The sequence below is a fragment of the Homo sapiens genome, chromosome 2 (genome assembly GCF_000001405.40).
Source record: "Homo sapiens chromosome 2, GRCh38.p14 Primary Assembly".
Taxonomy (NCBI): domain Eukaryota; kingdom Metazoa; phylum Chordata; class Mammalia; order Primates; family Hominidae; genus Homo; species Homo sapiens.
Genome location: NC_000002.12, coordinates 194,396,396 through 194,423,479, shown reverse-complemented (window position 1 = coordinate 194,423,479; position 27,084 = coordinate 194,396,396). Strand labels below are relative to the sequence as shown.

Below are 27,084 nucleotides of genomic sequence, written 5' to 3'. Positions count from 1 at the left end.
ATCTGGGTTGGTTCCAAGTCTTTGCTATTGTGAATAGTGCCGCAATAAACATATGTGTGCTTGTGTCTTTATAGCAGCATGATTTATAATCCTTCGGGTATATACCCAGTAATGGGATGGCTGGGTCAAATGGTATTTCTAGTTCTAGATCCTTGAGGAATCGCCACACTGACTTCCACAATGGTTGAACTAGTTTACTTCTGTATATGTTTTAAATTAAAAAACAACTTTTAATATATGGCTACATTTTTTGCTGCTTTATGGTTTCCCGATTTAACCTAATTTTTCAATTGACTAATCAAATAATTGTCTCAATCAAGTAAGGTAAAGAGGCTTCTTGTATAGAAGTATTATATATTCAGCATAAAATAAAGATAATTTTTAATATAGCGTAGTAATGGCATCGAAAATTATATTTTGATCTTAGAATATTTTAAATGTGTCTTCAGTTTCTTTAATTTAGAAATGCTCTAACTTAGAAACAAAACACATAGAAGATTACAAGTGCAAATAGAAAGAGGGCAAAAAAGACTGACCTTATATTTGCCAAATTTTTAGAGGTATATTAAAACCTCTACCTGACATTGCCGATTGCCTTGATTAATACCATCCTCCCCAGAATTTGATGTGAAAAAATGATTCTACTATTAAAGACTGATGCTGTTGTCTTGCAGGTCTTTCCATAATAAATAATCAAGCAATATCCCTATGAGGAATTATCTTAATTTCATACTATTTCCTTTTTACATTTATACTTTACTGTGCAACATTTTATTAATATTTGTTAGTAGATACAAGTGAGAAAGTAAAAATGGAGGCCCTGACATTCAGGACCTGGACTGGGACTCTCAGCTAAGTCTTTAAGTCTCCTGTTGAACATAAACTATTTCACAGAACCCTAAAATAAAATACGACCATTCAATGATCATGATGGACAATGACAAAAACAACAACAATCCTTAATTTTATCTGAGCATAAACAAAACAGGAACGTTGTCCAAATCACAACATACCAGATACAAGTGACTGTTGTTTCTTTAGCAGTTACCTTATCCTCAATTACATTAGCCTCACTCTAGTATGTCATCCATATAGATAAGATTTGGTGACATACCTAATCATAAAATTGCTCCCACTTCCTGGTAACAGACAATCCAGGGCAGTCTTGCTTCCTTAATTTCTTCCCCAAATAACCAAATCCCAAATGATACAATAGGTTCTTTTAATACTCTCTTACTGAGATAACTTCACATTTCCCCATTGTGTGAAGTATTTATTGCTGTAAACAAGAATAAACTCAGGGGTGTTCCTGGTGGTCTTTGGTTATAGGATATGGACACAAGAAACAGAAAATAGATTCTAAGTGTTTAAAGACTTTATTGTGATGGGGAGAGGTATTAGCTAAAGTCATGGAAGAATATAATGCAGGAAGATAAAGATAATAGAAATCAAAGATCAAATTTTCTCTCCTTCTAGAATTTTATGCAGCTTCACACTAAAGAGTGTTGTAACTTATTGATTAAATTATCCAATTCAGTGAAAGTATGCTGAATAGAAGCAGGAAAGCTGTTTCTGTATGCTCAGTTTATATTACAATTAAGTTTCCAGCTGGAGATCCACAAAATATAGTAGAACCCTCACAGGGATGGTATTTGCCTTGTTCTATTTTAGGATTCCATAGCAATATCACCTTATAGTAACAGCTGTTTGTAGCAATGGGATTGGTATGAATTTTTCTTCTACTGCCTGGCAAATTGAAAAGCTATAAAATATTTTCAGTTCATTTCAGGTTCAGGTATCCCTAGGAGCAACTGTCTTCATTCAATCAGAAAGGAAGGTACTAAGATTGCAAAACAGAGATTAAGTAACTGAATGCAAACTGCTGTTGGTTGAAAACTCCAACTGGGACTTTATTGCCAAGCACCAGACATTAGAAGATCAGTGGCAAAATTAGCCAGAGTAAACATCCTGAGGTACAAAACTAGTGCCAGCTCACTGAGCTATCAAAAAGATAAGTGGGTTGACAGAGGGGCTGAAGAAAGACGTAAGTAAATATGGATAAATTCAGTACCCGTTCATATAATGATGGACATGATTTGAAAAAGAAATATGTCAGTCATAAATTCAGTTATAAATATGCAGAATGAAATTTTGGAAGTTTTATGCTCTTGTTAGGAAAAAATAGCTATATTAGGATTAATATTACATATTTAATTTGAGTCTCAATATAAGAACCCCATGAAGGTTGTTAAAATAATGAAAGTAATGCTGATTTAATAATTAGACATTGAAAACTTACATCCTCGGTGGCATTATTTATTAAAACAAGCACATAGAAAATATATTTTCCTTTTCTTTCCCCTACTGTACTTTTTAAATCTTAAATTCTCAGTTTAAAAAAAATGTGTTATTATAATATGTATTCCAAAATTATAAAAATTATAATTTTATACTTAATGACTTTTTTTTCAAACAGAAAACATATAGCCAGGATTCAGATAAAAAGTCAATGTTACCATCATCCTAGTTCTTGTCTAGTAACTATTTTAATAGCTACAATCAAATTACATTCTTTATATAAATGGTATCCTCTGCCAAAACTGAGATGAGTAACTATAATTGTTGTTATTATTATTATTTGTAGTAGTAGTAGTAGTGTAGTATGTAATGTCTTAGCTCCCTGAAATGTTTGAATAGAAAGCTCATAAAATAACTGAAATTTCAAGCATTTGAATTCTAATCTTTTAAAAACTGTTTTTAGGTGAGTTTTTTCCCCAAAATTATAGGCCGTCATAATAAGTTTGAACTTTATCTATAACAATAGAAAGCCATTAAAGAAATTTTTGCCCTAGAAGGGCATTAGTGCACTTTTGTTTTGGAAAAATAAGACATTGGGGGATGTAGATGATGAGTTATTAAGAAGAAAATAGGGTTGCCGTACAGAAAACCAGTTTAGAAGCTAAGGAATTAATCCGTTAAATAAATTACAAAATTTAAGGATGTCTCAATAAGTTTGAATGTAATGGAAAGTATTCAGCAATAAATGAAAATAATAATCCTATTTAAATGGCTAATTTAATATGAAGATTTAATAGAGAAGAGTTATAGTCTCAAGTTCTTGTTTAGTGGATGTTCATATTATTAATGGCAAAAAAATATAAGTAATAGGTCAAAGCTAAAGGCTTATATATTTGGATAGTTCCCAGTCAGGTTGATTTTATACCAAAATAACTTTTATGAAAAAGAGAAAGTAGTAACAATGCTATAGATTATTTAATCTCTTGCCAAATAAATACTGAAAATTACAAAAATACTATTTTTCATTTGATTATTAAATAGGCATATTCAACTTAATATTTCCAAACTGAGATCCTGATTCTCACTCAAACCATCCCTTCCTTAATGTTCCCACTCAGTTATCGGTCACGTAAATTGATGGGGTAAGGATTCACCACAATACTACCAGTTGTTCAGATAAAAAATTTTGATATAATCTTTAACTTGACTCTTTCTCATAACCCATATCTGTTTCATCTATAAATCCTTTTTGCTGAAACTTTAATATATACCCAGGATTCCACGTTCTCACCCAACCCTTGCTACTATACTGCTGTAAGTCATCATCCCAGCTCCTCTGGATTATCAAAATGACCTCATAACTTGCCTTCCTACTTCTGCCCTTGATGCACTTTCATTTTATTTGCAATATGGTAACAAGGTGATTCTGTTAAAACATTTCATATTATGTCACTTCTCAGTTTGGAACCTTCTGTTTTTTTCTTATCACATTTAGAATTGAAGCCAAATTTCTTGCTTAAAATGAAAAGGACTACATTATATTCTTCTGTGCTCATTTCTCTTTTATTCTTTCATTACAGTCACACAGGCATGATTACTGCTTCTCAAACAAAGCTGGTATGCCCTCACCACAGGACCTTTGAACTTGATTTTTTTTCCTGCATGGAAGTTTTTTATTATTATTATTTTATAGAAAAACAGAAACGTGTTTCTCACAGTTCTGGAGGCTGAGAATTCCAAGATCTAGGTGCTGGCAGTTGGTGTCTGATGAGGGCTTTCTTGCAGTGTCCTCACACAGTGGAAGGTGGAAGGCAGAACAGCAAAAAGGGAATGAATTCCTTCCAGCAGCTTCCTTTATAAATCTGCCTGGAGTACTTAAAAACAAACAAACAAACAAACAAACAAACAACAAAAACCACAGTTAGTTCTCTCAGTTCTTTCAGGTCTTTACACAGTTATCTGCTAATCCTTCCTTGCTCACTTATATAACATTGCACCATTACTTAACCATTTCACTTCCTCCTTCCTCACTGTATTTTTCCCCCCATAGGATTTAATAGTATCTGACCCATTTTGTATACTTTATTTTTATTTTCATACACACACACACACACACACACACACATACACATACACACGATAATATTAGTAAGCAAGGATTATTGTCTCTTGTCACAGCTGCATCTCTAACATCTAAATATATTTAGTGTATATACATTTAAGGTATAGATATTTAAAATTAAGTAAACAATAAAATGTGGCAATTTTGTTAAAAATGTATTGCCTATACTTAGTGAATATTAATCACTATTTAAACAGATTTGGAGCTATCTTTAGTAAATCTTAAGAATATGAAATATTAATATTAATATCACTGAACTTTAAGTAATTGCTGTAAGGACTTACAAGCATACACACATGCAGTGTACAAATGTTAAGTCCCTGGCTTTGATACTGTACTATAGTTATATAAAATGTAATCATTGGAGAAAATTAGGTGAAGAGTATGCAGGATGAATCCATACTTATTTCAAAGTGAAAAGTTTAAAAATTAATTATGTTAGGCAGCTCTAACTTTTACTTGATAGGTTACCCTTAATTAGTTTGTATTTATCGGAGAAATGCTTTGTTTTTCTGGTTTGCTTAATTCTTAGTTAAAAGATAACAAACAATTTTATTGCAGAGGAAATTTCCTAACATTCTTTCACTCTCCTTTGATTTTTATTTAAACTAAAACCAGCATGACAGTCCCATCGAAAAATTCCTCATGACAAAAATCTCTTATCAGGAAAATATGTTTGAGACACATACACATTGCACGCTATTGAAGGGGCTGCTTCTCATAAAACATGCACGTTTTACTTAAGTACTTCAAAGGTACTTTATGTTTGTACGCTTTAAACATTTTGATTGCTGAGTCATTTAAATCTTTCAAAATTATTTGAAATATTTTTATATTGGCTAAAACCAATTATGTTCTATACTGTAATACAATAACTTAGTTGTTTCTTGGGTATCTAGGACTAAATATTTTTAGATGACTTTTAATTCTTTTACCAGACTTGCCTGTATTTTTTTCTTTTACTCGCTTTAATTTTCTTTTATTACATTCACATTCTCTCTTCTTCTTTCCTCCACTGTTTCCAATGATTATTAGCCACAGAAGGAACACTTTATAACTTCCCTGACTAAATAATGTCTCTTACTGCTTTCTCTTTAAGGAGGTGAATGCTTATTTTATCTGCATCAAAATTATATGAAGTGGAATGACATTTATTTGTCATGTATCTACTGTAAACTGAGACAATTCCTCAATTTTTCTTTGTCTTTCCTTATTTTGAAATTATTTTTGAGAAGTGAAGGTCAGTTATTTTGTAGACTGTCCCTCAATCTGGATTTATATGGTATTTTTTCATGATTAGATTTACTTTATACATTTTTAGTGAGAATGCTCTGGAAGTGATATTTTTTCTTTTGTTCTCAGTAAATGAAATCAAAAGGAATATAAAACTGATTTTTCTCAGTATTAGTGATGCTAAATGTCAGGTTCTTAAGTTGGTGTCTACTAGGTTTCTCCACTATAAAGTTATAAATTTTAACTTTTGGATTTATAAGAAAAAAGAAATGTAATTTGAAACTGCTAGAAAAGTTTGATGCTCATCAAATGTTTACCAACAGTTGTTATTAGCAACCATTGAGTATTTTCTAATTCCACTTGTATATTTCCATATCTATGTATCTATATCTATATGGATATAAACATAGCTATCTTCCTATCATAAGGAAGAGCTCTCTCTTTTTCCTTACCTATTTCTTTGTTGTGTATATCAGTTTGGATTCATGAATTATTATTTTATTCAGTGTGTTAAAAGCAATTACTCTATTTCAATATGCAAATTTTCTCTGTCCATAGTGACGTGTCTATTTATGTCTACTGAAACTTGGGAACAAAAGTCAGAGGTTTTGGTATTTCAGGGAAGTAATGCTGTGTATATTATATATCCCTTGAAACATGTGAGTGGCCACATATTTTGACAGTGAAATATATGGATATTCAAAATAATGTGATTATAAAGACTATATATAGCATCCTAGTCAACTCAAATCAGATTTAACCATTAAATGAATAACATTTTGGTTCTCAAAGATATAGGAATTTAGAATTCTGAATAAGGCATTGTGAACCTCTGCCTGGTTCTCCTTCTATTTTAAATAGTGTATTATTTTATATTTATAAAATGCATGCCATCTTTATATTGTATACTGTTTAGGCTAACTTTAAAATCTAGAGCTTAAATATGATTATGAGGCTGTCTTAGGAGTTACAGAAATTACATTAATCTTGGATTATATATTAATTAAAAATGCATACAGAGTTAAAAAGCATTCAGGAAAAATTTTTAATAAATTTTAAAGACTAAGTTAATATCTATGGAAACCAAAGAATATTAATTTATATTTATGGATGTTTGCTTCAAATATAAAAGTTTTCTATAGATTTATGTGCTATCTAGTAAGTTGTGGCACAGTACAGTATGAATACCATCTTGGAGATTTTGTTCTTTATATAAAGAATATATAAACTTGTAAAAAATTACATACTAGCTGACTAAAAATATGCAAGGTGGTTCAGGTAGGAATGAAAGGCAAATCTGATAATTTTATATTAAAAATGTACTCTAAGAAATTATCTTTCTCAAGAAAATTTTACAGCCATATAAGTAATCATAAAGCAAGGTATACTGGGACATATGCTTGGTTACCTGAAATTAATTGCAGGGCCCAATAAGTAGGCTACTCTCTAGTTAAAAGAAAAAACTTGGTAAGTTTCTTTCTCTCCATTGCCCTGCTTTTGAGTGAGGTGACAGGCTACTGGATGAAAACACTGCAACCAGATGAATGGAAAAGTTGTGTTGCCAGGGAAACCTCTTCCAGGAGTTGTGTGGTCCTCATGTAGCTGTCCTTTTTTCCTTAGAGCAGTAGTTCCTTCATGGTACAAGAAAAAGATCAAGACTAACATGTGGTCATAAAACAGGAATGTATTTTATATAAAATATCAGTACCCTACATCAATCTATTACTATTTTACGGTCTCTAATAACATGTAAAATAACTTATTAAAAGGAAAAATTAGATCCTTCATCTTTGTGTATATTATTTAATTTCATTTTTGCCCTCAAGGCTTCCATTAAATGTGTCATATCTTAGACACATAAAGTTTAAATTGGTATAGAGCTATTATGATTTCTACCTTTTCTGTTTTTAGTGGCCTACTGTGTCAATGCATTATCTATAATAGTTCCTCATACATTAGTTTTAATTTATTCCTGGAAAAAAAGAACACCTACATGGTTTGTCTAAAAGCATTTTTCCCTGGGATTAAAAGGATTGCCATTTTTACATGCTGGTCTGAAATGAAAATGAATAAAAATGAGAGCTATTTTCATTTTCCAAACATGGCCTTTGAAGTTTTCAAAGTGAACCTTGATAGAGAATAAGGCCAGATAAAAATGTTACTACAGCTCTGGCCTCAGGAAGAAAAAAATCAAAACAGAAATTTCCCATGGTGATTCCCTTTCCAGAGAACTGATCATTAAACCATCATGCTGTTTGACATTCTTTACAGAAGTATGGCATTGCTTCGACTGGAGTTTAATTTGAGGAATTACCTTTTCTTATTTTTTAATACTGTAACTTTAAAAGGAATAAAATAAAGACATTCTGCCCATCACAATGAGTGCCCTCTGTACACAGGAAAACACCATTTCCTCTTAAATCCCAAAGGAATAAATCTAGATTTGAAACCACCAGGGAGCTGTATACTTGAATGGCAATGTTTTGGCCCTGACAGATTTGTTTTTACTAAATCGCAATTGAGCATTCACCACCAGTTTACCTTCTGGACATCAAAAAACATCATAAGAACTCGCTAGCTTTCCTTTTGTGTAGATGTTACTGAGAACAGCAGTCAATGTATGGAATAGCTTCCTCTTTACAGTATCCCCAAGGAGAAATTCCTCTCAAGCCTCACTATCAGCAAAAGCTATATATCTTTTAAACAACTGGCTCCCATCCCTCCTCACTTCCCTAATATTTTAGACACTGTGTTTCTAAATTTCATCCTGATTGCTTTGACCATTAGGAAGTTGAGAGAAAACATTTTGGTACATCTCTGCACCTACTCAGGACTTTATGGTAGGCATTTCTATGAGCTAGTCTTAACCCTTACCCTTACTTTCTATTTCCTTTCCCATAATTTACCTTCTTCTATTGCTCAAGTGTTTTTTTTTTTAATATTGTAGTCATTTTAAACGTAAAATAAATAAAAACATTACGTAGGTGTATAAAAGGATGTTTTGGCTTTTGTATGTAACCAAAATTCAAAACGCTTTCTTTATAATTAGTGACTGCTTAATATAATACTAATTGGATTAAATATATTTTTCTATTACACATTGGAGGTGTGTGGTAGTGATGGGGAACTATTTAATTCCTGACTCTAGACTCTTGTTTAGTTTTGTCTACTTCTTAATCTTCTTACTCTTTAATGAGTGTCTTAATCTCAGTAGTTTCACATTCTTCTCAAGCAATGCTATTCACTGTTCCTACAAGCACTTCTAAATTTTTTATTGTATAGTTTAACTTGAGATTTCAAATAATAAACTGCCAAAGATTTAATTACAGTATTCAAACTAATTGGATATGGTAATCAGCGGGTCTCTCAGAGGTGTTTTATCTTGATGTCTAGGGGCATAAGCAGTATACTATTGGTGTTAACACACAACCACTTCTGAGATGTATTTCTATCAAATGTTATTTCAACACTTAGAGAAATCTCCAAATAATAGTTTGATTAGTTTCAGATATAAAATAAGAACAAGTAAAGAAAATTGAGGCATTGAGGAGTGGCTGACATTTATTGAATATTTACTATGTACTAGCCACTAGGTTTTCATATTTGGCTTTAAAAAAAAAAGACTTAGCTTTGGAAGGGCAACGATACATTGACATATCTCTGTAATGTGCCTTCCTTCAACCGACATATAAATTATCTGTGAGATAATAGTAAGATAGGTAGCTATAAAGTGGCACTTTTAGAAAAGACCTAAAGCCAAGAGCATGCAATGCTCTTATTTATTCTTACGACTTTTAAGACTTCTGGAAAGCTCAAAGTTTTGCTTTATGTCCAATTCAATTATTTTACCTCAGATACCTAAGTTTCCTGCTATTATTCATAACTTCCACCCTTTTATTTTTATTTCTATTTTTTCATTTTTAAAACTTGGATCTGTATTAATCATTAAGTCTAGGAGAGAGATAAAGTAGTAATGTTTGTGGGTAAAGAATAACTCTTAGCAAATAGGAAGACGATATTCTGTTTGCAACTCTAGTTCTTTTTTTTTTTTTTACTTCAAATGTTAAGGCTATGCCTTGACTACTACATTTTTCTCTGTTTTCTATCTTCCAAGACAGTCTGTAATATTTATGAATAAATCTATGGCTGAAAATTGTGCATTCCTCTTCAGAATGGAAGAGGTCTAATAGATTTTAAACTAGCCAGTTTAATAAGAGACAAACTGGTATGCTGAACACTGAAAAGCAGCTTCATACATGAATGAAATCTTTATTGCCAAAAGATAAAATAATTTGATGTTAATATTGTGAAATGCTGAATAAAAAACTAAAGAATAACAATATATTATTTATTTATCTTTTGTTTGATTTCATTTTGGAGAGGGCTTAATGTGACCCTTGAGTATGTACATCAAGAAATTACGTAAATGCAAATCCAAGGCTCTGAAATATTCTGTTTGCATTGTTAACCTCTAATTGGTTATGCCATTAAATTAGTTGTAAAGCATTATAGTACATGACTGGTCAGCCATACTGTATATAGTTGAGTCCTCCTCTAAATTTATATTGTTATATATTTCATAGTCAAACTTTTAGCCATTTAATTAAAAGGTATATGTAATACTTATAGAATTGATGATCTGTATGATCTTTTCTGTGTGTAATTTTAATATTCCCCAATTGGCCTAGCTCAGAAGCATATGTGTGCCAGGAATAAATATTTAGGTGAATAAGATATATGATTAAAAGTCAAGATTGAAAACTAGACTTTTTGAAAATAAGATTACCATTTTTTTTTTTTTCTAAAAAGGAAACTTCTTTACAGCATGGATGTTACAGTTGAATTTTTGGGAGGCTATTATATCAGTTATCATCTTAATGCTACTAGAAGATAATCATATACAATAACTTGTGATAAGGATTTTTTATCGTCTCTTTGAGTCAGACACTAAATTATAGTATTAGAATCCAAGACATGCTCTTATGTTTTATGAATGTAGTAATATTGAGAAACTATTTCTAAATACAGAATATTTCAAATTATGTAGGAAAACTCTTAAAGGATTAAAATTTCCCAATAATACGTCTTATCTGACATATTCTGGGAAATTTCTAGCTCCTGTAGAATTTTACCAAATAGCATTTTATATAAATATATGAAACCCCTACTTTATGCTAAAATTCTCTTGACTTACGACTGGAGAATATACCAGCTACCACATTCCAATACTGTAATAGAAGAAGGCAGGCTGTCTAGGCAATTTGCGCATCTGGTGCTGTAAAACACGGTGGGCTGACATAGCAGTGAAAGTCTGTCTTCTTACTCCCTCTTCTTTACAGTGGGATTAAGTGCATGAGATATTCATATATACTTTGAGGTGCTTTAAGTTGCGAAGCAGGTAATATTCTCATAGCTTCATTTTCTTCAATGTGACTCTCACTGCATGAATCACTGTTAGTGAGACTGTATATTCACTGAATTTAAAAAAAAACCATAAAGGTAAAATACTCTGTCAAATACAGCAAAGAAGAAAGTGGGAGGGAACTGATATTTGGCTGCTTGTCTACTATGTACAAACACATTAATAGGAAATGCATACGCACTTGAAACTTAAGTATTATACCTGATGAATTTGATATATTTTCATATTCTAAAAATAAAGAAACAGACTCAGAAAGAATAGCTCCCAATAGGATATATGGCTATAAAATGGCAGATCCAACATTCAAAGAACCAATGTTAAAACCCCAAATCCCATTTGTTTCCACTGCACTCAAACTTGTCTGCTGATAATCATCTAGAGCTGTCACTGAAATCAATATCCCAGGTCCTCCCCTTTGAGATTATATTATAGTTGCCCAGGTACTCCCCAGGAATCTGGATTGTAACAAGGACCTCATATAATTCTTAAAGTCAAGTATTTTTGAAAACACTGCTCCACAGCTTACTACTTTCTCTGCAGTTGAAATAATGTCTTTCTTGTATCTAAGAAACACACAATTCTAAGTGACTCTTTGGACCTACAGCTTTGTTATATTTATGCTATTTTTATACTACATGTTCTTCTAAATTCTTTTTAATCTTTTAAAAATTCAAAGAAATTACCTGACAACGTGATAGAAGGCCAGGATTGTAATAACAATACCTAACAAAATGTTTAGGGAGTTTTAATTTTTTAAATGTTTTTCCTAAGGCACAATCCCTACTAGATCCAAGGCACTCCATGCAGATGGGCACATTTTCTTACACCTGGATTGGTCCCAAAAGCATTATCTGTTGGAAGACCTTATTGTTTTAATTGCAAACTTATATCTGGCCTTGTGGAATCCAGGCAGCAATGTTAAATTACGTTTTTCAGTAGCTTCGAGGCTCTATCTGTAATTAGTGGCTTCTGTTCTTTATTACACTGATCAGTAATGCAGCTCTATTCATCACCGCAGTCTCAGTTAATTATCCTTGCTAATGATTTTCATGGTGTAAAGAATCTTCAGGACCCATTTGTAAAGATATTTTTGCATTGAAATTATTGGATAGTATGACACCATAGTGAGCTGATAAACTGTTGGAGGGATGTTACCATGGGAGATGGTTACTTTCATTCTATTGTATCTGCTTTGATTGGGGAGAAGTTACAGAAGAGGGGATGTGATGTAATTTTGCATTTACGAGTTTATAATACTACAGGTGTGCAAAGAGGTGGGAAGCAGTCAACCAGAACACAAAGAGAAAAATTTCCTCTGCATGCCTGAGACATTGGTAATACTGTTGGTGGCTGCTCCATCTAGTATTGAAATTAAATAAGATTAAATGAAACTGCTACTTCATCGTGTGTTTACATTTTAAAATATCTTATGTGGAGAAAATAATTTGAATTTATGAAAAATTGTGTGACGCAGTGATTTGTGTATTCCTTTTGGATTGTTAGGAATTTTAGGATAAGTTGCTGATCTCTGGTAGGTATGACATGTTAATATTAGATTACTTTTCAAAACTTATATTATTGTAAACCTTAAAAATACATAATTTTTAAAAAAGGTCCAAAGTTTTTAGCTTTAGAAACCATATTGAAATTAGTGTTAATTAAAAACAATTTTCATAAGATGATTTATATAAATTTTAAAGAAAAAGTCTTCAATTATTTCTGATGTCATTTTTATGCAAATCATATCAGACATATATCAAATGATCTTCCACCTCCTTTAAAAAATACTGATAATGAGAAATGATTTTTTGAAAATAAAAGAACAAAATATTATAATACGTGATTGAATAAGAAATGTCACTGAGAGAATTACATCTATCAAATTTAGGTAAAATTTTATTGTTTACTTTGGTGACAAAAATAACTTGTAAACTTTTTTTTTAAAGTTTTTGACTTCATACTTTTATTCTTACTTTTCCTCACTCAAGTTGTTTTCTTTTTATATAATCTAAGCTAATTTTACAATTGGATTCAGCACATAAATGATGGACAGTAAAGCCTGTGAAATAAGATGTTAGAACTGATATTTGTTGCCAGATTCCAAACAAAAATAGTCAATTACAATACCTTTTTGTGACCATGAGAAAGGAAATTACATTTAATCATGAACTATTCAAAATTATGTGTATACATAGATTAATAATGTCTATGAGAGTCAATACAAAATAATTAAAAAATTTTTAAATTAGCAGTTAATTTAGTGTCAGCTATTAAAATGTATGGCAGTATCAAAACTAAATATAATAAAAAAGTTTAAAAAGTTCTTGACTACTAAATCATCTTGACAAATTTTAACGTATTTATTTATTTACTTTTTTTTTGATGATTGTCATCTGGAAACAGCATCCTGAATCACTGTGAGAAAAATACGTAATAGATCATGATTCATTAAGGCCCAAATTTTGATTGATCATTAAATTTCTGACTGCTAGAAATTCCCAAAGCACAGGGACTGGCTTTTCAAGATTGTAAGATGTATTTTGATCCATGGGAATAAGAAGATATCATTAAACTATTCAATAATACCTCAGCTAAGAGAATTACCCCATCAAATGTATAAGATGTTTTATATTTAAAAATCTGTCTCTATATCTTTCCATCTACCTATCATCTACTCTCTTTTTCATCTCTCTATTATCTTTCACAGCTATCATCTATACATTGACATCATCAGACTTTCTGTGGCTTCTGGGTATGAAAAGGAACAAAATTTTGTGTCATACTCTCTGGAAACAAGAGGGTAGAAAAAGACAGGCGTAAGTTCCAGAAGTAAGCTCCCTCCACCCAATTCCACCCTGCTCACCAACAAAACCTTTTGGACAATGAACATTGAGGATTGGTGTCATAAAAAGTATCACTGATATCTCCACAGTATCTCAGCCTTACTGACCACTTGTAACATAATGATGTCCTATGTTAGAAAAGGTCATATAGAACAATGTTCATATGGTAATGTCCTGGCCAAGACAACCATATACACATGAACTATCCAGGACATGATGACATTGGACAAATTACTTAAACTCTGAGATTAATTGTCATCAGATGTAAATTGGGTAGAATAACACACAACTCATAGGGTTTTATAAAGATGAACTGAACACAACCAGATAAACATTGTAGGACAAGAAAATGACAACGGATTGTTAATTCATATCTCCATGTTTTTAATACCTAGTCCACATATTTTTCTTATTTTTACTTACTACCCCTGATTTTTTTCTTTCATTGAATTCTTTGTAAATTAAGGACATCAGTCATATACTAAATACAATGCATTTTTTAATTATATCATTCATCTTTGGCTTTTGTTTATTATAGAGTATTCCTTAGGGGATTTTAAAATGTGTAAACATATGAAGTAACATATATTGTTTTTGGTTTCGGTTCTGCTTCGTAAACGCTCCTGCTTAATCTAATATTATAAGAAGAGAGGTGTTACAGCATCAATATATTTTATAGTCATGAGGCACTACAAGTGGGGGTAGGAAGATTTGTTAAGATAAAATTGCTCTAGGCTTCACCGGAGAAGATTAGGCCTAGGCTAGGCGCAGTGGCTCATGCCTGTAATCCCAGCCCTTTGGGAGGCCGAGGCGGGTGGATCATTTGAGGTGAGGAGCTCGAGACCAGCCTGGCCAACATGGCGAAACCCCATCTCTACTAAAAATATAAAAATTAGCCAGGCGTGGTGGCGCATGCCTGCAGTCCCAGCTACCCAGGAGGCTGAGGCAGGAGAATTGCTTGAACCTGGGAGGTGGAGGCTGCAGTGAGCCAAGATTGTGCCACTGCACTCCAGCCTGGGCAACAGAGTGAGACACCATCTCAAAAAAAAAAAAAAAAAAAAAGAGAGAAGATTAGGACTGATGTGGGGCAGTAGTGATGATGATGAAGAAGAGAGCAAAGCCTAGAAAATACATATTCAAGCAAAACTGGTACACCTGTATGCTTATGTTATAGTCCAGAAAAAAGTGAACAAACTGAATAACTAATTGCTTTTTGGCCTCAATAAATATTTAACCTCACTGGACTTCAGTTTTTTATCTATAATATAAAAATATTAAACTCAATTGTCGTTAAAAGCTATGCCATGTCTGAAATTTTATTATTTGAAAAAAAGTCTCTGGAAACTCAAAGGCATGAATGCTCTGTTTGTTAAGAGGAAAAACATATGAACAAATGAGTGGACAAAATAGGCACAAATACAGAATACAAAATACAAAATAGGCACAAATAAGTAAAATGGAAAAGTACTTAATTGAAAACTCAGTTCTCTAGAATACAGATAAAATTATAATGAAAAGAAAATAAGCCTGAGAAGCCAAATTATACGTTATAATGTATACTGTATATCATCCCAGTGAATAGCAAATAATTCGTGGGCAAAATAAAGCATTTCTTGTAAGTAAAAAGATTTTTATCCCAGCTGTATCTGTGAACAAATTGAAATGAAAAATACAGTGTTTGGGTTTTCTAATTGGTGAAAGTATCCTCATCGTATGTTGCTCAGGAGCTAGTTTCTCCAGGAAAATACAGGTTTTCTGAAAGTTTTAAAATTAGGGCTTCTAAGTAAATAAGAGAGCCATCTTTCATTCGGCAAACAGTGAAGACAGTATGTCAAGGAGATTCAGATTTATTCCTCTCTCTAAATACTCAGATTTATTCATCTATCCATAATCCATTATTCTATACTCTAAAGATTGTTTCTCTTCAATAGCTATATGAGAATGAGATGCTAAATTAACCCAGCTTTTTTATATGCTGTACCTTAGCATTCAAATCATGCATATATGAATGATTTTAGAAGTTTCTTCATAGATATGCATAGAAGAGGAAATGAGATATTTTCTAAAAATAAAATTAGCCTATCAAGGCCTTCATAAAATTAGAAAGACTTCCTTGTGTTTCGTACTGTGATTAAGAGTACAGATAACAAGCTGGAAAAGTGAAAGCTAAAATTTATCCTGTGCTTCTTATGTGCAGGACATTATGCTGAGTATTTTACAAGCGTTTTTCCATTTAACTCTCACATCAACTCAACAAAATATTAGATAAGATTATTAGCACCATTTTACAGATGGGGGACTATAGGTATTATGGAGCAAATAATTGAACTACAGAGTAACAACAATATAAATTCAGAGATGAAAGACAACTCTCAATAATATGATTAGGAATAAAGCAAAACCAAGGAACTTTATACAGTGGTGATGCTTTTATTCTATTTTATTTTACTTTTTCAAAAATGCTTCCCTTTAGCGCAACTCTATAAACTTATGTTAAACTTGAAGTAAACCTGGTGAAAAACAAGAATAATCTATGTTAATATCTGACACTCAAATTGCTCCACTTTTGAAACATCCATTTGATTGTGATTGAATATGTATTTTCTTCCTGGTTTAGACTTGGGAGGGTGTATGTGTCCAGGAATTTATCCATTTCTTCTAGATTTTCCAGTTTATTTGCATAGAGGTGTTTATATTATTCTCTGATGGTAGTTTGTATTTCTGTAGGATCAGTGGTGATAGCCCCTTTATTATATTTTATTGTGTCTATTTGATTCTTCTCTCTTTCCTTCCTTATTAATCTGGCTAATGGTCTATTTATTTTGTTAATCTTTTCAAAAAATTAGCTCCTGGGTTCATTGATTTTTGAAGCGTTTTTCATGTCTCTGTCTCCTTTAGCTCTGGTCTGATCTTAGTTATTTCTTCTCTTATGCTACCTTTTGAATTTGTTTGCTCTTGCCTCTCTAGTTCTTCTAACTGCGATGTTAGGATGTCGATTTAAGATCTTTCCCCCTTTCTCCTGCGGGCATTTAGTGCTATAAATTTCCCCCTAAACATTGCTTTACCTCTGTCCCAAAGATTCTGGTATGTTGTGTCTTTGCTTTCATTGGTTTCAAAGAACATCTTTATTTCTGCCTTCATATCATTATTTACCCAGTAGTCATTCAGGAGCAGGTTGTTCAGTTTCCATGTAGTTGTGTGGTTTTGAATGAGTTTCTTAATCCTGAGTCCTAATTTGATTGCACTGTGGTCTGAGAGACTGTTATTATTTCTGTTCTTTTGCCTTTGCTGAGGATTGTTTTACTTCCAATTGTGTGGTCAATTTTAGAATAAGTGCAATGTGGTGCTGAAAAGAATGTACATTGTGTTGATTTGGGGTGGAGAGTTCTGTAGACGTCTATTAGGTGCACTTGGTCCAGAGCTGAGTTCAAGTCCTGAATATCATTGTTAATTTTCTGTCTCATTGATCTGTCTAATATTGACCGTGGGGTGTTAATGTCTCCCACTATTATTGTGTGGGAGTGTAAGTCTTTTACTAGGTCTCTAAGAACTTGCTTTATGAATCTGGGTGCTCCTGTATTGGGTGCATATATATTTAGGATAGTTAGCTCTTCTTGTTGCGTTGGTCCTTTTACCATTATGTAAAATATATAATTATGTAATGCCCTTTTTGTCTTTTTTTATCTTTGTTGGTTTAAAGTCTGTTTTATCAGAGACTATGATTGCAACCCCTGCTTTTTATTGCTTTCCATTTGCTTGGTCAATAATCCTCCATCCCTTTATTTTGAGCCTATGTGTGTCTTTGCACATGAGATGTGTCTCCTGAATACAGCACACTGATAGGTCTTGTATCCAATTTGCCAGTCTGTGTCTTGTAATTTGGGCATTTAGCCCTTTTACATTTAAGGTTAATATTGCTATGTGTGAATGTGATCCTGCCATTATGATGCTAGCTGGTTATTTTGACCATTAGTTGATGCAGTTTCTTCATACTCTTGATGGATTTTACAATTTGGTATGTTTTTGCGGTGGCTGGTACCAGTTTTTCCTTTCCATATTTAGTGCTTCCTTCAGAATTATAAAAAACTACTTTACATTTTATATGGAACCAAAAAAGAGCCCATATAGCCAAGTCAATCATGAGCATAAAGAATGAAGCTGGAGGCATCACACTACCCGACTTCAAACTATACTACAAGCCTACAGTAACCAGAACAGCATGGTACTAGTACCAAAACAAATACATAGACCAATGGAACAGAACAGAGGCCTCAGAAATAATGCCACACATCTACACCAATCTAATCTTTGACAAACCTGACAAAAACAAGCAATGGGGAAAGAGTTCCCTATTTAATAAATGGTGTTGGAAAAACTGGTTAGCCATATGCAGAAAATTGAAACTGGATACCCTCCTTACACCTTATACAAAATTAACTCAAGATGGATGAAAGACTTAAACATAAGACCTAAACCATAAAAACCCTAGAAGAAAGCCTAGGCAATACCACTCAGGCGATAGGCATGGGCAGAAACTTCATGACTAAAACACCAAAAACAAGGACAACAAAAGCCAAAATTGACAAATGGAATCTGATGAAGCTACAGAGCTTCTACACAGCAAAAGAAACTATCATCAGAGTGAACAGGCAACCTACAGAATGAGAGAAAAGTTTTGCAATCTATCCATCTGACAAAGGGCTAATATCCAGAATCTGCAAGGTGCTGAAACAAATTTACAAGAAGAAAACAACACCATCAAAAAGTGGGTGAAGGATACGAACAGGCACTTCTCAAAAGAAGACTTTTATGCAGCCAACCAACGTATGAAAAAAGCTCATCTTCACTGGTCGTTAGAGAAATGCAAATCAAAACCACAATGAAATACCATCTCACACCAGCTAGAATGGTGACCATTAAAGTCTGAAAACAGCAGATGCTGGAGAGGATGTGGAGAAATAGGAATGCTTTTACACTGTTGGTGGGACTGTAAATTAGTTCAACCATTGTGGAAGACAGTGTGGCGACTCCTCAAGGGTCTAGTGCCAATAATTCCATTTGACCCAGCAATCCTCTTACTGGATATATACCCAAAGGATTATAAATCATTCTACTATAAAGACACATGCACACGTATGTTTATTGCAGCACTGTTCACAATAGCAAAGACTTGGAACCAACCCAAATGCCCATCAATGATAGACTGGATAAAGAAAATGTGGCACATATACACCACGGAATACTATGCAGCCTAAGAAAGGGTGAGTTCATGTCCTTTGCCAAGGACATGGATGAAGCTGGAAACCATCATTCTCAGCAAACTAACACAGGAGCAGATAACCAAACACCATGTGTTCTCACTCAAAAGTGGGAGTTGAAAAATGAGAACACATGGACATGGACACAAGGAGGGGAATATCACACACTGGGGCCTGTTGGGGTGGGGTCGGGGTGGGATAGCATTAGGAGAAATACCTAATATAGATGACGGGTTGATGGGTGCAGCAAACCACCATGGTTCGTGTATACCTATGTAAAAAACCTACATGTTCTGCACATTTCCCAGAACTTAAAGTATTAAAAAAAAAAGAAGAAACAATATTATGTCCTTTGTAGGGGCATGGATGACACTGGAGGCCATCATCCTTAGCAAACTAGGGTAGGAACAGAAAATCAATACTTCATGTTCTCATTTATAAGTGGAAGCTAAATGATGAGAACACATGGACACATAGATGGGAACAACACACACTGTCAGAGGGAGGGGAAGGAAAAAAAGTAGTATCAGGGCACAGATCACAGAAATCCTGTAAGACATGGTTAGAAGTTCAAAGTTAAATCCAAAAAAAAGGAAAACCCTATTGGCTACTGAGTAGAGAGAGGAGTGACACGATCCAATCTGTATTTAAAAATATCATTCTGATTGTTGCATCTTGAAGCAACTAGGGATGTACAACAATGGAAGCATGGAGGTCAGTTAGAATTGAAAAGTCCAAGTAAAATATTATTGTTTCTTGGAATAGAATACTAGCAGTGAAGGGGGTTAATCTTATATTTGACACATTTTAAGGGAAGAGATCCTGCATGACTTGCTAAGACATTGTGTGGGGAGTCTGATATTTAATTAAGTAGAGAAAACTATGAGAAGATCGTTTTGTTGGTGAAATAAGACTTTGATTTTGGGCATATTAAATTACATCCTTATTAAAATTTAGCTAGTTATATTGAGTAGGCAATTAGATATTATAGGGAAAGAAAGTGCTAGAGTTAAAAATTTGGGTGTCATTAATTTATACATGGAATTAGAATGATTTAATACCCTGTATACTTACTATCCAAGACACTTGATTTATAGAAAGATAAAGTTGGATAGAAAAGAGATTCAATCAGCATAAAAATGTCAGCTCATTTATGTTTCGTTATTATGTAAATTCTTGAAGCACAATGAAACATTGTATTTTAAGGTAATACTGCAATATTATAAGACAACACAGTTTTACTCATTTTTGCATGTCTTGATCATTAGAATATACAATATTTGACCCAGCCATCCCATTACTGGGTATATACCCAAAGGATTATAAATCATGCTGCTATAAAGACACATGCACACGTATGTTTATTGCAGCACTATTCACAATAGCAAAGACTTGGAACCAACCCAAATGTCCAACAATGATAGACTGGATTAAGAAAATGTGGCACATATACACCATGGAATACTATGCAGCCATAAAAAATGATGAGTTCATGTCCTTTGTAGGGACATGGATGAAGCTGGAAACCATCATTCTCAGCAAACCATCGCAAGGACAAAAAAGCAAACACCACATGTTCTCACTCATAGGTGGGAATTGAACAATGAGAACACATGGATACAGGAAGGGGAACATCACACACTGGGGCCTGTTGTGGGGTGGGGGGAGGGGGGAATTATAGCATTAGGAGATATACCTAATGTTAAATGACGAGTTAATGGGTGCAGCACACCAACATGGCACATGTATAGATATGTAACTAACCTGCACATTGTGCCCATGTACCCTAAAACTTAAAGTATAATTAAAAAAAAGAAGATACAAAATTAACCAAAATAATCTCTAATGTAAGCATTTCAAATATAATAGATTTTCCATTAAAATAAATTCTTTTTATTTTAATTTCAATGTACAGGATATGTCAAATATTATACAGGTATTTCATATGACGATGTGATCTTACTAGTAGGTAGCTATGAACAACTTGATCTTGCCTCATGGGTTATAGCAAAATGAATTAGGTAAATGCTTGATCTTAGAGGAATCAATCTGTATTTAGACTGAGCAAATCATACCATTTCACATGAAAAATTGAGCTAAGTTTCAGGAATTGTGTGGGGTTGGGAATGGATAGCACTAAATTTTGTTAGAGAACAAGAAATCCCATGAATCTCTTTTGCTGAGGTGTCAGAGCATTCCTTCCAGAAATGTAGGTATTTATTGTTTTCCATAAGTGTTTTAGATTCTATTAACACATTCCTTTTTGCTTACAGTATAATTAGTATACCTCAAATTCTTGAACAAAATATAAGTTTCAGAATAAATATGTTATAAAAAGGTCAATATATCTTCTTTTTTGACAAGTAACTATATAACTACCATTGGGAAAAAGATGGAATTAAATAAAAACAACTTGTGTTTCAGATGTTAATATTTAAACTTTAAATTTAAAAGTAGAAAGTAATACCATAATTGTGTTAAGTACTCAACCTTTATTATATAATTATGCCAGCTGATTTCTTTAGAACAGTGATGTTATTTTAGTTACTACTTTAAAAACTAGTCTGTATAAAGCAGATCTAGAAGTCAAGGGCTCTCGGCAACAATGTACATTTCATATCTTTTTTCTGACTAAGACTTACAAACAGAAATGGCACTGCTCACTGGAGAACTGCATATATTTGGGTAATCAATAAACCTTTTCTTACCTACTTTCATGAAAACACTCTTAGGTGACTTTGTTTTTATACCACGGCTATGAGATAAGACTTTAAATTATTATAATTTGGGGACAGGATTTCTCATGAGCTAAATATTCTAGGCCAGGTGTTGCAAACTAATTTTGTGTGTACTGTCTCAACATGTTAAAACTAAAAGAAGCCAACTTCATAAACAGAAAATTGGCAAACAGTTGAGAGAGGTTAGGATTATCAGAGCCAGAAAAAAATAATGCACACAATATTTTAGAGCCTGGTGAGGTCTGAAGAATACAACAAAATATTTTTATATTATACCATTTTATTTTAAATGAACTAAGATAAATACAGTATTTGAAAGTAATAGGCAAATGTTTGAAATTTTTTATTAGTTAAATACAGTAGTTTATATTGATAAAAGCAGTTTAAATTATGCTGTTTAATTTCTATAATATAAGTCTAATAACAGTGATTATTTATATGTATAAAAAAGCCTTAAAACTTTTGCTGCAGTTACATCTGTACTCTTCATATAATATTGATTTATCTTTCTGGGAGAATTCCAATTTTATCAAGTTGAAATTAGTATAACTTCTATAATATCTCCTATATTAAATCACTGTTTTTAATAAATTAGAGTTTATCTAGCCTGAGATTTTTAAAAGTACTTACCCCTGGTACATCATAAATGATTTCAGCTTCTATATTCTATTTGATGAATAATTTAATCAGTTTTATGTTAATTGAATTTTTGCCTGCTTAAAAAAGCAAATCTTGACTTTTCATTTAAAATATAATCTATTAGAGAACTCTAATCAGTTTCCTCTTCTATCCTCTTGAGAACATTGCTTTGATTTAATTTTTATTAAATTGAGGTGCTTCCTTGAGGTATTTTCTCAAAAATTGTACATGTTTTCTAAAACACTGCATTAAAAAATATCTGTTTGTCTTTATCTAAATTGATATCTTGATGACAAATAAAATTCTTGGTCTCAGATCTCTTATTTCATAGCTGTTTTAAGTGTTTCTACTTCCTTCTGACATTCAGTTTTATAGGTAAGAAATATGATTTTACAAATGAGGAATATGATGTCACTCGGGTTCTCATTCCTTTTTAAGCAGCTGATTCCCCCATGGACATGCTAGTAACATTTTTGTTTTCAACTTTAGCAGTTTTCTTAGGATATTTGAATATTTTGGTCTTTTTCACTCATTCTTGCTGTAACTCTCACTCCAACTCTAGCTCTTTTCTCCCTTACTAGTAAACTAACCCTGCCAGGAGCTTTCATATATTGCACATTAGTATTCCTGCAATGTTTCCCATGATTGGCCACTATTCTAATTAGGAGGTAATGCAGCTAGCCTGAAATTAAAAAAAAATACTTCGCACACTATTTTAGATAAGTGCTTCTAGTATTTTCATTACTATATATTGTTAGAGTCTGCCCCATTATCTCTTTGATGTCTCCTGTTATTTGTGTATGATGCACTCTGCTCTAGTCTTTGTGCCATTCTTTTTCATACTTACAAGTGAAAGTATTTTGTATTTTTTGGGATTTTTTTAAATTTTATTTTATTGTGATGAGAACACAGTGTGAGATCTACACTTTTTGCAAATTAGGTGTACAATAGAGTATTTTTTAAAGTAGGTACAATGTACAGCAGATCTCTAGAGCTTCTTAAACTTGCATAATTGAAACTTTATGCCTGTTGATTAGCAATTTCCCATTTTTCTTTTCCTATACCCAGCCACTGTCCCGATATATGTATTCATCACATTTTTAAATCCATTCATCAGTCATTGGACATTGCAGTTGTTTCCGCATGTTGGCTATTGTAAATAGTGCTACAGTGAACATAGGAATGCTGATATCTTTTGAGATCCTGGTTTCAGTTTTTTGGATGTGGTGTGGTAGTTCTGTTTGTAATTTTTAGATAAATCACCATATTCTTTTTCATAAAGGCTGCACTGTTTGCATTCCCACCAACAGTATGCAAATAAACTCAAAATGGATTAAAGACTTAAATATAAAAGCTGAAACTATAAAACTACTAACTACTGGAAAAAAAAAGGGGAAATGCTTCAGGACATTGATCTGGGCAAAGATTTTACCTATGAATAAGATTCTGAAGGACAGGCAACAAATGCACAAATACACAAATGGGATTTTTGTTAAGCCAAAAATCTTCTGCACAGCAAAGGAAACAATCAACAGAATGAAGAGATAACTGATTAAATATGAGAACATATTTGCAAATGATTCATCCAACAAAGGACTAACGTCAAGAAAATACGAGGAACTTGACTTCACAGCAAAATAAAAAATAATTCAATTAAAATATGGGCAAAGGGTCTGAATAGACAGTTTTCAAAAGACATACAAGTGGACAACAATTACATGAAAAAAATGCTCAGCATCTCTAATCATCAGGGAAATGCAAATCAAAATGACAATGAGATATCATCTTCCCTTGGTTAGAATGGCTATTATCAAAAAGAAAAAAATGTATATCAAATGCTAGTGAAAATGCTGAGAAAAATGAACTTTTTACACTATTTTATTCTTTTCATGCTATTTTAAATGAGATTTTTTTCTTAATTTTTAAATATTCATGTGGATAAATGCTACTAATTTTGCATGTTAATTTTTTTATTCTGCCACTTTGCTAAATTTATTAGTTCTATTAGTTTTTTGTTAATCTTAAGGGTTTCCAACTTAGAAGATTATTTCATCTGCAAACAGAGATAAATTTACTTCTATTTGTCATATTCAAATTCTGTTGTTTCTTTTAGTACAACAATGAATAGAAATAAGAGATAGTGGCTAGGTGTGGTGGCTCATGCCTGTAATCCCAGCACTTTGGGAGGCTGATGCAGGAGGATTGCTTGAGCCCAGGAGTTTGAGACCAGCCTGGGCAACCTAATGAGACCCTATCTTTACAAACAATTTTAAAAATTAGCTGGGCATTGTTGCATGGCCTATAGTCCCAGCTACTTGGGAGGCTGACTTGGAAAGATTGCCTGAGCCTGGGAGGTCAAGGCTGCAGTGAGCTGTGATTGTGCCTGGGTGACACACCAGCCTGAGTTACAGGGTGAGACCTTGTCTCAAATAATAATAAAATAATAATAATAATAATAATAATAATATTGTGGAGATCACGGGTATCCTCTTGTTTCTGATCTTAGAGGAGAAACTTTCAGTTTTGGTATTGACTATGATGATAGTTGTGAACTTCTCATCAATGAATTTTATCATGTTGAAGAACACTCATTCTATACCTACTAAGTCAGGAGTTTTATCATGAAAGAGTGTTGAAATTAAAATGCATCTGTTGAGAATTTAATAGGATTTTTTTTCTTGAATCTGTGAATGTGGGGTATTACATAAATTGATTTGCATATGTTGAAATATTCTTGTATTCCAGGGATACATCACATGGTCATGGTGTATGATTTTTTTTTTATTTACTACTATTTTGTTGAAGATTTTTGCATATATTTATCAGAGATGTTGGCCTATAGGTTTCTTTTCTTTATTTCAGTATCTTTATCTCATTTTGGTATCACGATAATGCGGACTTTATAAAAAGAGTTCAAAAGGATACCATTCTTTTTAACATTATATTACTTTGAGAAGGATTGACAAACCTTTTTCAAATTTGTGGTAAATTTACCAGTAAAGTTATCTGGTTCTGGGCTTTTCCTTGAGACGGTTTTTGTTATTGTATCAGTCTTTTCTCTAGTTATAGGTCTGTTCAGACTTTCTAGTTCTTCATGTTACTGTGTTAGCAGCTTGTAGGTTTCTAGTAATTTATTCATTTCTTCTCAGTTATTCAGTTTATTGGTGAATAATTATTCATAGAAATCTATTATGATACTTTTTATTTCTATGGTATCAGTTACAATAGTGTCACTGCTTTCATTTCTTAATTGCCACTGCTTTCATTTCTGAATTATTTATTTGAATGTACTTTAATAATTAGTCTAGGCTGGGCATGGTGGCTCACACCTGTAATCCCAGCAATTTGGGAGGCCGAGGTGGGTGGATCACCTGAGGTCTGGAGTTCTAGACCAGTTTGGCCAACATGATGAAACCCCATCTCTACTAAAAATATAAAAATTAGCCAGGCGTGGTGGTATATGCCTGTAATCCCAGCTACTCTGGAGGCTGGGACAAGAGAATCACTTGAACCCGGGAGGCGGAGGTTGCAGTGAGCTGAGATTGTGCCACTGCACTCCCGCCTGGGTGACAGAACAAGACTCTGTCTCAAAAAAAAAAAAAAGAAAAGAAAAAAGAAAAAAATAGTCTATTGTTTGTCAACTTTACCTTTTCGAACAACTAAAGCTTATTTCATTGAGTTTTTTTCTATTGTTTTCCTAATCTCTATTTCATTAATTTTCACTGTAATTTTTATTACATGCTTCTTTCTACTAACTTTGGGATTAATTTGTTATTCTTTTTCTAGTTTCTTGATGTGTACAGTTAGGTTGTTTATTTGAGATCTTTTCCTTTTTAATTATAATTTTTATTGCAATAAGCTTCACTCTTAGTACTGCTTACCACTGCTTTTGCCACATCCCATAAGTATTGGTGTCTTATATATTCCTCTCAAGATGTAAAAGTAAAATGTTTCTAATTTCCCTTTTTTCCCTGTTTTCTAATTTCCCTTTTTAATTTCTCCTTTCACCTATTGGTTGACAAAAGTATGTTATTTAAAGTTCACATACTTGTGAATGCCCCTGTTTCCTTCCACAACTAGTTTCTAGTTTCATTACATTGTGGTTGAAAAGATAGTTAGGATGAATTCAATCATCTTAAATTTGTTAATACTCGTCTTGGGACCTAATGTGATCTAACCTGGAGAATTTTCTGTCACTGCTTGAGAAGAATGTATAGTCAGCTGATGTTGGGTAGAATGTTCCGTATATGTTAAGTTCATTTGGTCTACTGTTCAAGTCCATTGTTTGTTGATGTTTCTGTTATGTTGATCTGCTTAATATTAAAAGTGGAGGATTGAAATCTCCTGCTTCTGTTGTATTGCTATTGTTCCCTTCAGTTCTGTCAATATTTGATTTATTTAGGTTTGTGTTCTGAGATAGATGATAGATAGATGATAGATAGATAGATAGATAGATAGATAGATAGATAGATAGATAGAGCATTGCCCCTCTAGGCTTCTGAGATCACTGCTACTTCTTCTCATTCTATCT

General features: G+C 32.8%; 1 long non-coding RNA gene across 1 annotated transcript in view; it reads right to left on the bottom strand.

Annotated features, from left to right (window-relative positions):
* Positions 1-3,848: 3,848 nt before the first annotated feature.
* LINC01821 (long intergenic non-protein coding RNA 1821) overlaps positions 3,849-27,084 on the bottom strand; it is a 75,363-nt gene continuing 52,127 nt past the window's right edge. Inside the window, exons 5-6 of the long non-coding RNA NR_110222.1 lie at positions 7,062-7,284; positions 3,849-4,172 (exon numbers count right to left, since the gene is read on the bottom strand). This is a non-coding gene — a long non-coding RNA (long intergenic non-protein coding RNA 1821). The remainder of the gene's footprint in view (positions 4,173-7,061; positions 7,285-27,084) is intronic.